Here is a 12800-nt window from a genome sequence, read left to right on the forward strand (position 1 = left end):
AATCATTGGTGAGGGAGTTGGACTGTTCCATCATGGTGGCAGGCAGGACAATGGAGTGTGGAGAGCTAGGGAGCAGAGGGAGGTGCTGGTGGCTCAGCCCTGCCACCTTGGACCAAAGGCTACCCTCAATGTTGAAGGGTATTGTCACCGGATATTAATCTCTGGGTTGACAATCTCTCTCTGCCTTTCAGCTGGCACTACAAATGTAGTGTTCTATTGTCCTTTAGTTTCTATTGTTTAGGACATGAAGTCAGCTGTTGTATTTGTATATTATTTTCATACTGCTATGAAGAAATGCCTGAGACTGGGTAATTTATAAAGTAAAAAGTTTAATGGACTCACAGTTCCACATGGCCGGGGAGGCAAAGGAGACAAAGGCACATCTTATATGGCAGCAGGCAAGAGAGCATATGTAGGGCAACTGCCCTTTATAAAACCATCAGATCTCATGAGACTTACTCACTATCACGAGAACAGCAAGGGAAAAGCTGACCCCCATGATTCCATTACCTCCCACTGGGGGGGTTTACGGGATTATGGGAGCTACAATTCAAGATGAGATTTGGGTGGGGACATAGCCTAACCATATCAGCTGTCATTTGTAATTATTTTTTTCTTTTATGTAATGCATCTTTTCTCTCCACTTTCTGTTTTTGAGATTTTTCTTTTTACTTTTAGCAGCTTTACTCTGATATATCTAGATGTGCTTTCTTTGTATTGTTTGGGGTTTGCTGAATGTCTGGAATCTCAAATTGATGTTTTCCATTGTATTTAGTTATATTTTGGAAATTATTTCTTCAAATATATATATATTTGGCATCATTCTCACTCTTTTCTCCTGTTGGGCTCCAGTTACACATATGTTACATTGTTTGATATCATCCCATAGGTCTCTGAAACCATCTTTTTTCTTTCTACCCTGTAGATTGGATAATTTAAGTATCTTTAGAAAAAAGAAGTCTGGGTCCAGGCACAATGGCTCATGCCTGTAATCCCAGCACTTTGGGAGGCCGAGGTGGGCGGATCATGAGGTCAGGAGATCGAGACCATCCTGGCTAACACAGTGAAACCCCGTCTCTACTAAAAATACCAAAAAATTAGCTGGGCGTGGTGGCGGGCGCCTGTAGTCCCAGCTACTTGGGAGGCTGAGGCAAGAGAATGGTGTGAACCCGGGAGGCGGAGCTTGCAGTAAGCCAAGATTACGCCACTGCACTCCAGCCTGGGCGACAGAGCGAGACTCTGTCTCAAAAAAAAAAAAGAAAGAAAAAAGATGTCTGGATACTATTGGGATACTATTGATATGTGATCATGTAAATTTTCCATCTTTTTCTTTAAGATTGTTTTGACCACATTGGCCCTTTGCATTTACATATAAATTCACAACTTTCTACATAGAAAAAGTCTGTCAGGGTGTTGATTTGGATTGCTTCAGATCTAGAGAGTAAATTGGAGATAATTGATATAAATACAAATTTGAGTCTTCTAATTCCTGAAGATGGTGTACCCCTCTATTTATAGTTAGATGTCACTTAAAGATGGGGATACATTCTGAGAACTGTGTCAGGTGATTTTGTCATTGTGTGAACATCACCAAGCGTACTTACACAAAGTTAGATGCCTAGCCTACTACACACCGAGGCTATGTGGTATAGCCTATTGCTCTGAGGCTACAAATCTGTACAACATGTTACTTTGCTGAATACTGTAGGCAACTGTAACATAATGGTGTTTGTGAGTGTAAGCATATCTAACATAGAAAAGGTACAGTAAAAATATGATATAAAAGATAAAAAGTGATGTACTTTGTATTAGCTTGTTCTTGCATTGCTATGAAGAAATATCTGAAGCTGGGAGAATAGAGGTTTAATTGGCTCATGGTTCTGTAGGCTTTACAGGATGCATGGTGCTGGCATCTGCTTCTGGTGACACCTAGGATGATTACCCTCATGGTAGAAGGCAATGGAGAGCCAACATGTAACACGGTGAAAGCAGGAACAAGAGAGAGCCAAGGGGGAGGTGCCAACTTTAAACAACCACATGCTCATGTGAACTCAGAGCAAGACTCACTGGTTATTTTGAGGACAGCACCGAGAGAATGGTGTCAAGCCATTCATGAGGGATCGACACCCCAATCGAATCACCTCCCACCAGGCTCCACCTCCAACATTGGGAATCATATTTCAACATGAGATTTGGTGGGGGGCAAATATCCAAACCATATCACACCTGTATAGGGCACCTACCATGAATGGAGACTGCAGGAATGGAAGTGGATCTGGGTGAGTCAGTGAGTAAGTGGTGAGTGAATGTAAAGGCCTAGGACATTACTGTACACTACTGTAGACTTTACAAACACTTTGTACACTTTATACAGAGTGTATCATTTTATAAACTGTACACTTAGGGAACACTACATTTATAAAAGTATTTTTTTCTTTCTTTAATAATAAATTAACCTTGGATTACTATGACATTTTTACTTTTTAAAACTTCAAATTTTTAAAAAAGTCTTGACTTCTGTAATAATATTTAGCTTAAAACATGAACACACTGTATAACTGTATAATTATTTTCTTTCTGTATATCCTTATTCTATAAGCTTTTTTCTACTTTGTTTATACTTTAAGTTCTAGGTTACATGTGCACAAAGTGCAGGTTTGTTACATAGGTATACTTGTGCCATGTTGGTTTGCTGCACCCATCAACTCATCATTTACATTAGGTATTTTTCCTAATGCTATCCCTCCCCCCTCCCCCCACCCCACAACAGGCCCCAGTGTGTGATGTTCCCCACCCCCATGTCCAAGTGTTCTCATTGTTCAATTACCACCTATGAGTGAGAACGTGTGGTGTTTGGTTTTCTGTCTTTGTGATAGTTTGCTGAGAATCATGGTTTCCAGCTTCATCCATGTCCCTGAAAAGGACATGAACTCATTCTTTTTTATTCCATGGTGTATATGTGCCACATTTTCTTTATCCAGTCTGTCACTGATGGACATTTGGGTTGGTTCCAAGTCTTTGCTATTGTGAATAGTGCCACAATAAACATACGTGTGCATGTGTAGTTATAGTAGCATGATTTATATTCCTTTGGGTATATACCCAGTAATGGGATGGCTGGGTCAAATGGTATTTCTAGTTCTAGATCCCTGAGGAATTGCCACACTGTCTTCCACAATGGTTGAACTAATTGACACTCCCACCAACAGTGTAAAAGCATTCCTATTTCTCCACATCCTCTCCAGCATCTGTTTTTTCCTGACTTTTTAATGATCGCCATTCTAACTGGTGTGAGATGGTATCTCATTGTGGTTTTGATTTGCCTTTCTCAGATGAGCAGTGATGATGAGCATTTTTTCATGTGTCTGTTGGCTGCATAAATGCCTTCTTTTGAGAAGTGTCTGTTCATATCCTTTGCCCACTTTTCGATGGGATTGTCTTTTTCTTGTAAATTTGTTTAAGTTCTTTATAGATTCTGGGATATTAGCCCTTTGTCAGATGGATAGATTGCAAAAATTTTCTCCCATTCTGTAGGTTGCCTGTTCACTCTGATGGTAGTTTCTTTTGCTGTGCAGAAACTCTTTAGTTTAATTAGATCCCATTTGTCTATTTTGACTTTTGTTGCCATTACTTTTGGTGTTTTAGTCGTGAAGTCCTTGCCCATGCCTATGTCCTGAAAGGTATTGCCTAGGTTTTCTTCTAGAGTTTTTACGGTTTTAGGTCTAACATTTAAGTCTGTAATCCATCTTGAATTAATTTTTGTATAAGGGGTAAGTAAGGAAGGAAGCCAGTTTCAGTTTTCTACATATGGCTAGCCAGTTTTCCCAGCACCATTTATTAAATAGGGAATCCTTTCCCCATTTCTTGTTTTTGTCAGGTTTGTCAAATATCAGATGGTTGTAGATGTGTGGTATTATTTCTGAGGGCTCTGTTCTGTTCCATTGATCTATATCTCTGTTTTGGTACCAGTACCATGCTGTTTTGGTTACTGTAGCCTTGTAGTATAGTTTGAAGTCAGGTAGTGTGATTCCTCCAGATTTGTTCTTTTGGCTTAGGATTGACTTGGCAATGCGGGCTCTTTTTTGGTTCCATATGAACTTTAAAGTAGTTTTTTCCAATTCTGTGAAGAAAGTCATTGGTAGTTTGATGGGGATGGCATTGAATCTGTAAATTACCTTGGGCAGTATGGCCATTTTCACGATATTGATTCTTCCTACCCATGAGCATGGAATATTCTTCCATTTGTTTGTATCCTCTTTTATTTCCTTGAGCAGTGGTTTGTAGTTCTCCTTGAAGAGGTCCTTCACATCCCTTGTAAGTTGGATTCCTAGGTATTTTATTCTCTTTGAAGCAATTGTGAATGGGAGTTCACTCATGATTTGGCTCTCTGTTTGTCTGTTGTTGGTATATAAGAATGCTTGTGATTTTTGTACATTGATTTTGTATCCTGAGACTTTGCTGAAGTTGCTTATCAGCTTAAGGAGATTTTGGGCTGAGACAATGGGGTTTTCTAGATATACAATCATGTCGTCTGCAAACAGGGACAATTTGACTTCCTCTTTTCCTAATTGAATACCCTTTATTTCCTTCTCCTGCCTAATTGCCCTGGCCAGAACTTCCAACACTATGTTGAATAGGAGTGGTGAGAGAGGGCATCCCTGTCTTGTGCCAGTTTTCAAAGGGAATGCTTCCAGTTTTTGCTGATTCAGTATGATATTGGCTGTGGGTTTATCATAAATAGCTCTTATGATTTTGAGGTATGTTCCATCAATACTAGTTTATTGAGAGTTTTTAGCATGAAGGGCTGTTGAGTTTTGTCGGAGGCCTTTTCTGCATGTGTTGAGATAATCATGTGGTTTTTGTTGTTGGTTCTGCTTATGTGATGGATTACATTTATTGATTTGCGTATGTTGAACCAGCCTTGCATCCCAGGGATGAAACTGACTTGATTGTCGTGGATAAGCTTTTTGATGTACTGCTGGATTTGGTTTGCCAGTATTTTATTGAGGATTTTCACATCAATGTTCAAAAGGAATATTGGTCTAAAATTCTGTTTTTTTGTTGTGTCTCTGCCAGGCTTTGGTATCAGGATGATGCTGGCCTCATAAAATGAGTTAGGGAGGATTCCTTCTTTTTCTATTGATTGGAATAATTTCAGAAGGAATGGTACCAGCTCCTTTTGTACCTCTGGTGGAATTTGGCTGTGAATCTGTTTGGTCCTGGACTTTTTTTGGTTGGTAGGCTATTAATTATTGCCTCAGTTTCAGAACCTGTTACTGGTCTATTCAGAGATTCAACTTCTTCCTGGTTTAGTCTTGGGAGGGTGTATGTGTCTAGGAATTTATCCGTTTCTTCTAGATTTTCTAGTTTACTTGCGTAGAAGTGTTTACAGTATTCTTTGATGTTAGTTTGCATTTCTGTGGGATCGGTGGTGACATCCCCTTTATCATTTTTTATTGCATCTATTTGATTCTTCTCTCTTTTATTCTTTATTAGTCTTGCTAGTGGTCTATCAACTTTGTTTTCAATCTTTTCAAAAAATCAGTTCCTGGATTCACTGATTTTTTGAAGAATTTTTTTGTGTCTCTATCTCCTTCAGTTCTGCTCTGATCTTAGTTATTTCTTGCCTTCTGCTAGCCTTTGAATTTGTTTGCTCTTGCTTTTCTGGTTCTTTTAATTGTGATGTTAGGGTGTGGATTTTAGATCTTTCCTGCTTTCTCTTGTAGGCATTTACTGCTATAAATTTCCCTCTACACACTGCTTTAAATGTGTTCCAGAGATTCTGGTACATTGTGTCTTTGTTCTCATTGGTTTCAAAGAACATCTTTATTTCTGCCTTCATTTTGCTATTTACCCAGTAGTCATTCAGGAGCAGGTTGTTCAGTTTCCATGTAGTTGTGCAGTTTTGAGTGAATTTCTTGACCCTGAGTTCTAATTTGATTGCACTGTTGTCAGAGAGACAGTGTGTTGTGACTTCTGTTCTTTTACATTTGCTGAGGAGTGCTTTACTTCCAACTATGTGGTCAATTTTGTAATAAGTGTGATGTGGTGCTGAGAAGAATGTACATTCTGTTGATTTGGGGTGGAGAGTTCTGTAGATGTCTTTTACGTCCGCTTGGTGCAGAGCTGAGTTTAAATCCTGGATATCCTTGTTAACCTTCTGTCTCATTGATCTGCCTAACTTTGACAGTGGGGTGTTAAAGTCTCCCTTTATTATTGTGTGGGAGTCTAAGTCTCTTTGTAGGTCTCTAAGGACTTGCTTTATGAATCAGGTTGCTCCTGTATTGGGTGCATGTATATTTAGGATAGTTAGCTCTTCTTGTTGAATTGATCCCTTTACCATTATGTAATGGCCTTCTTTGTCTCTTTTGATCTTTGTTGGTTTAAAGTCTGTTTTATCAGAAACTAGGATCGCAACCCCTGCCTTTTTTTTTTTGCATTTGCTTGGTAGATCTTCCTCCATCCTGTTATTTTGAGCCTATGTGTGTTTCTGCACGTGAGATGAGTCTCCTGAATACAGCACACTGATGTGTCTTGACTCTTTATCCAATTTGCCAGTCTGTCTTTTAATTGGGGCATTTTAGCCCATTTACATTTAAGGTTAATATTGTTATTTGTGAATTTGATACTGTCATTATGATGTTAGCTGGTTATTTTGCCTGTTAATTGATGCAGTTTCTTCCTAGCCTCGATAGTCTTTACTATTTGGCATGTTTTTGCAGTGGCTGGTACCGGTTGTTCCTTTCCGTGTTTAGTGCTTCCTTCAGGAGCTCTTGTAAGGCAGGCCTGGTGGTGACAAAATCTCTCAGCATTTGCTTGTCTGTAAAGGATTTTATTTCTCCTTCATTTATGAAGCTTAGTTTGGCTGGATATGAAATTCTGGGTTGACAATTCTTTCCTTTAAGAATTTTGAATATTGGCCCTCCCTTTCTTCTAGCTCATTGGGTTTCTGCTGAGAGATCCACTGTTATTCTGATGGGCTTCCCCTTGTGGGTAACCTGACCTTTCTCTCTGGCTGCCCTTAACATTTTTTCCTTCACCTCAACCTTGGTGAATCTGACAATTATGTGTCTTGGGGTTGCTCTTCTCGAAGAGTATCTTTGTGGTGTTCTCTGTATTTCCTGAATTTGAATGTTGGCCTGTCTTGCTATGTTGGGGAAGTTCTCCCGAATAATATCTTGAAAATCATTTTTCAACTTTGTTCCATTCTCCCCATCACTTTCAGGTACACCAATCAAATGTAGATTTGGTCTTTTCACATGGTCCCATATTTCTTGGAGGCTTTTTCATTTCTTTTTACTCTTTTTTCTCTAAACTTGTCTTCTCACTTCATTTCATTAATTTGATCTTCAATCACTGATACCCTTTCTTCCACTTGATTAAATTGGCTATTGAAGCTTCTGCATGTGTCATGAAGTTCTTGTGCCATGGTTTTCAGCTCCATCAGGTCATTTAATATCTTCTCTACACTCTTTATTCTAGTTAACCATTTGTCTAACCTTTTTTCTAGGTGTTTAGCTTCCTTGAGATTGGTTTCAACATGCTCCTTTAGCTCAGAGAAGTTTGTTATTACTGACCTTCTGAAGCCTACTTCTGTCAACTCATCAAAGTCATTCTCTGTCCAGCTTTGTTCCATTGCTGGCGAAGAGCTGCAATCCTTTGGAGGAGAAGAGGCACTCTGGTTTTTAGAATTTTCAGCTTTTCTGCTCTGGTTTCTCCCCATCTTTGTGGTTTTATTTACCTTTGGTCTTTGATGTTGGTAACCCACAGATGAGGTTTTGGCGTAGATGTCCTTTTCATTGATGTTGATGCTATTCCTTTTTGTTTGTTAGTTTTCCTTCTAACAGTCAGGTCCCTCAGCTGCAGGTCTGTTGGAGTTTGCTAGAGGTCCACTCCAGACCCTGTTTGCCTGGGTGTCACCAGCAGAGGCTGCAGAAGATCAACTATTGCAGAACAGCAAATATTGCTGCCTCTGGAAGCTTTGTCCCAGAGAGGCACCCGTTTGTATGAGGTGTGTATTAGTGTCTTCCACCTCCACATCTCGTCCCAAGAGAAGATCTTTTGGGGCAATAACACACATGGAGCTGTCATCTCCTATGATAACAATGCTTTCTTCTGGAATACCTGGTGAAGGACCTGCCTGAGCCTGTTTTACATTAAAATGTTTTTTATGAGTAGAAAGAGTGCACTCTAAGGTAATAAAACAGTATAGTATAGTAAAGATGTAAACAAATAGCATAGTTATTTATGATCATTATCAAGTATTATGTATTATACATAATTGCTTGTGCTATACTTTTATATGACTGACAACACAGTAGGCTTGTTTTCACAAGTATGAGTAATGTTACAGTGACTAAGACATCACTAGAAGATAGAGATTCTCAGCTTCATTATAATAATCTTATGAGACCACCGTTGTAAGTTGTATATACAGTCTGTTGTTGTCCAAAACATTGTTATGTGTTTCATTACTCTATTTAGGTTTTCTTTAATTTCTCTCAATAATGTTCTCTAGTTTTATGTGTAGAGATCTTGCACTTTTTTTAGGTTTATTTCTAGAAATTGGATGCTATTATTAGCATCTGTAGAATCAGTAGGATCTGTTTAAAATTTCATTTCCTAGATGTTTACTGCAGTGTATCGACTTCTGTTGCCCCAGCTAAAATTCACTTACTGATTTAAATAATTTATAAGTAGATTATTGTGTATTTTAAATACATGCTTTTATGTATTCTGTAATTAATCACTTTATCTTTTTCCTTTTCAACCTGTATTTTTTACATTTCCTTTTCTGCTTTATAATGTTCTAGACTAATATTTAACAGTGGACATCTTGTGTCAATCCTCATTGCAGGTAAAAACTTTAAATAGCTCACCATTATGTATCATATTTGTTTTAGATTTTCACATATCATTTTTATTATATTAGGAAAGTTTCCTTATATTTTTAATTTGTTAACAATTTTTGTTTTCTATTATGAGGGTATTGAATTTTTTCAAAAGCTTTTCTGCATTTCTTATATAGTCATATGATATAACTTTCTTTTTATTCTAACAATGTGGTAAATTATGTTGTCATCTTTGAATTTTAATCACCTTTGCATTTCTGAAATAAACTCAAGCTGGTCATGATATATTATTCTCTTATGTATAACAACTTGGTTTTCTAATCTTTTGTTAAAAATTTTACATCTGTATTTACAAGTGACATTAGTCTGCCAATTTCCTTTTTTGTAATGACTTTTTCAGATTTTGGCATCAAGATTATGCTGGCCTAATAAAATGATTCAAAAACTTTTTCTGTTTTTCTGTATATAGGTCATAGAAAATTTTCAGCTCTATTATAATAATCTTATGAGACCACCATTGTATATACAGTCTGTTGTTGACCAAAACATTGTTATGTGGTGCATTACTGTATTCAGGTTTTCTTTAATTTCTCTTAATAATGTTCTCTAGTTTTATGTGTAGAGATCTTGCACATTTTTTCATTTATTATCATGATAATAATAATAAATGACTATGTTATTGATTAATGTCTTTTCTATACTATATTATAGTATCTACTATCTACTATACTATACTGTTTATTATTTTAGTGTACTCTTTTCTGTTATAAAAAAATTAATGTAAGTCAGCCTTAGGCAGGTCCTTCAGGTCCTTCACTATATTGCCCAGGTTTTTGGTACATGGTTTTAAATTAGTTGTTTATCATGTTCTCTCATTATGTAGAGATGTTCTCTCTTTCATTCCTGATATTAGTAGTTTGTGTTCTCCTCCCTTCATTTCTAGAATCCACTTCTGACTTTCTAGATTTTTCTCTATTGTATGTTAGTTTTGTTTCACCAATTTCTGTTATCCTTTTTATTATTCTCATGTTTGTCATTTCTTTGGGTCTAATTTGCTGTTGTTTTCCTAGTTCTTTGGTTGCTCATTAATTCTACCTTTATTATTTTCTAAAATATTCACAGATGACCATACATTTTCCTCTGCGTATGGTTTTATCTGTATCCCAAAGGTTTTCATGTCACATTTTTATTACTATTCAGTTTCATATAATTTATAATTTCTATTGTGATTTCTCCTTTAGCCCATAGGGAATTTAGGGTGTATTACTTACTTTGCAAACACTGGGATTTTATTAGTTATCTTTTTTCTATTAATTTCTAGTTTAATTCTGCTGTGACCAAAAACATGACATCTCTGATGTCAAACTTCTGATATTCATTAAGATTGCTTTATTACCCCTTACTTACATTTACTTTTATCTTTATGTTTACTTTTCTTATTTTTTACATGGGTTTGAAAACAATGTCTATTCTGCTATATTCTACATATGTCAAACAATTCAAGCTTATTCATTGCCTTATTTAAATCTTCTATATTCTTCCTGATTTTTTCTTCTGTTTGCTCTATTTAACAAAACCCTGATAGGCCTAGATGTGGTTTTCTTTGTATGTTTTTCTTTTCGGGTTCATAGCACTTCCTAAATGTAAGACATTCTGTCTTCCATTGCTTTTGGAAAGTTTTGGGTCATTATTTCTTTAAATATTGCATCTGTCACATTCTCTCTCTCCTCTACTTTGAGATTCCAGTTATACTATGTATTATGCTTTTTCATGTGTCCTGTATTTCTTTTATGTTCTTTTCTGTATTTTCCATCTGTTTTTCTTCTGTGCCTCAGTTTGTTTAATTTCTGCTGATCTTTCTTCCCCCAAGTCTAGTCTGCTTTTGGACCCATCTAGTTTAGCTTTTATTTCCAGTTTCTTTATTTTTCAGCACGGAACCTGGATTTAATTCTTTTCTAAAATTGGATTTATATGCTGAAATTTTTTGTCTTCTATTTTCTAGAACATGTTTATCACAGCTGTTTTAAAGTTCTTTTCTGACAACTCTGTTAACTGGATTACATTTACATTTACATTACATTCTATAAGACTGTTCTTTAAACTTCTATATTGTCATTTTGTCTTATCTCCTGGTATGCCTGGTATTTTTTATTAAATACCAGATATTATATATAATATATTTTAGTGATAATTGGAGGTTCTGGACAGTCGTATCTTCCTGTAGATAGGGTTTACTTGTGCTTCAGGCAGGCTGTGATGGAAGGAGAGATCATCAGTCTAGCCCCAGGAGGTGAGCCAGTGTTTGTCATGGCTTGTTTAATTCTAGTTTGCCTTACTCCTAGGGTTCATCCCTGTGACAGTCCCAACCCAAAGCCTGTGGTGTTTTCCAGAGCTTCTCTTCTTTGTCAGGCTCTGAGTTCTAATTTTTGTTCCTCCCACCCAGCTTTGTGAGACTGCTTAAAGCTATGCCTAGTATATCTCAGACTTTTGGAGCTGTCACTTCCTTCTCTGTTCTCCTCCCCTTCAGTTTCTAGGTCCCTAGGCTGCTGCTTTGGAATCCGTCAGTCTCTCAAGGAGAAAGGCTGGACTTTTTTCTTCTGTCTTGGATCATGGCTCTTCAGATTCAAGCAGCCTTCACAGTACTCTGATATCTCCAAACAGGTATTTTTCATGATTTGTTTTCCAAGTTTTCTAGTTGTTCTGGATAGAGGGTTTGGTTTATTCTAAGCTAGCCCACCATAGCTGGATTCACACATACAACTTTTAGAAGGCTGGGCACAGTGGCTCACACCTGTAATCCTAGCACTTTGGGAGGCCGAGGTGGGAGGATCACTTGAGGCCAGTAGTTCAAGACCAGCCTGGGCAACATGGTGAAACCCACATCTCTACAAGGAAATAAAAATAAAGAAATTAGCCTGCTATAGGGGCAAATGCCTGTGGTCCCAGCTACTAAGTAGGCTGAGGTAGGAGGGCTGCTTGAGCCCAGGAGTTGGAGGCTGCAGTGAGCTTTGATTGTGCCACTGCATTCCAGCCTGGGTGACAGAGCAAGACTCTGTCTCTACCCCCACCCCCTGTTTTTAAAGAATAAATTCTCGTCTTGTAGATTATAAATCTGAGACTAAGAATGATTTACTCAAGGTGACATGCCTATTAAGTGCAGAACCAGAATTTGAACCAGGTCTTTTGAAATTAAGTCCTATTTAAGACTCCCCAGCTCCATGTATCAACCACATCTAAGGATTGGCACCTCAGTGAAGGCAACAGTGAAAGTGTTTGGACATGTCAAAAAGGGAGGGAAGGGCTCTCAGCCTTAGCGCCATTTTTTTGGAAACCTCTGCGCCATGAGAGCCAAGTGGAGGAAGAAGCGAATGCGCAGGCTGAAGCGCAAAAGAAGAAAGATGAGGCAGAGGTCCAAGTAAACCGCTAGCTTGTTGCACCGTGGAGGCCACAGGAGCAGAAACATGGAATGCCAGACGCTGGGGATGCTGGTACAAGTTGTGGGACTGCATGCTACTGTCTAGAGCTTGTCTCAATGGATCTAGAACTTCATCGCCCTCTGATCGCCGATCACCTCTGAGACCCACCTTGCTCATAAACAAAATGCCCATGTTGGTCCTCTGCCCTGGACCTGTGACACTCTGGACTATTTCTGTGTTTATTTGTGGCCGAGTGTAACAACCATATAATAAATCACCTCTTCTGCTCTTTTAGCTGAAAAAAAAAAAAAAAAAAAGAAAAGGGAGGGAAGGAGTGAGCTGAGTGGTGGCTGTTTTGCCAACAGGGGTCAGCTTAGCTTGTTTGTTCATCTAGCTGGTGTTCTTATCCTGAGCTTGGTTGTAGCCACACTTCCAATGGAGACAGTCACATTCATCACCCATACACAAACACAACCTACGACTTGCAGCCACACATATGACTGTGTCTGCGACAGATCCAAAGAAGTATATA

General features: G+C 38.0%; 1 pseudogene; it reads left to right on the forward strand.

The window, feature by feature from the left end:
- RPL41P1 (ribosomal protein L41 pseudogene 1) lies at positions 12154-12576 on the forward strand (annotated as a pseudogene).

Source organism: Homo sapiens, chromosome 20 (genome assembly GCF_000001405.40).
Source record: "Homo sapiens chromosome 20, GRCh38.p14 Primary Assembly".
Classification (NCBI taxonomy): Eukaryota; Metazoa; Chordata; class Mammalia; order Primates; family Hominidae; genus Homo; species Homo sapiens.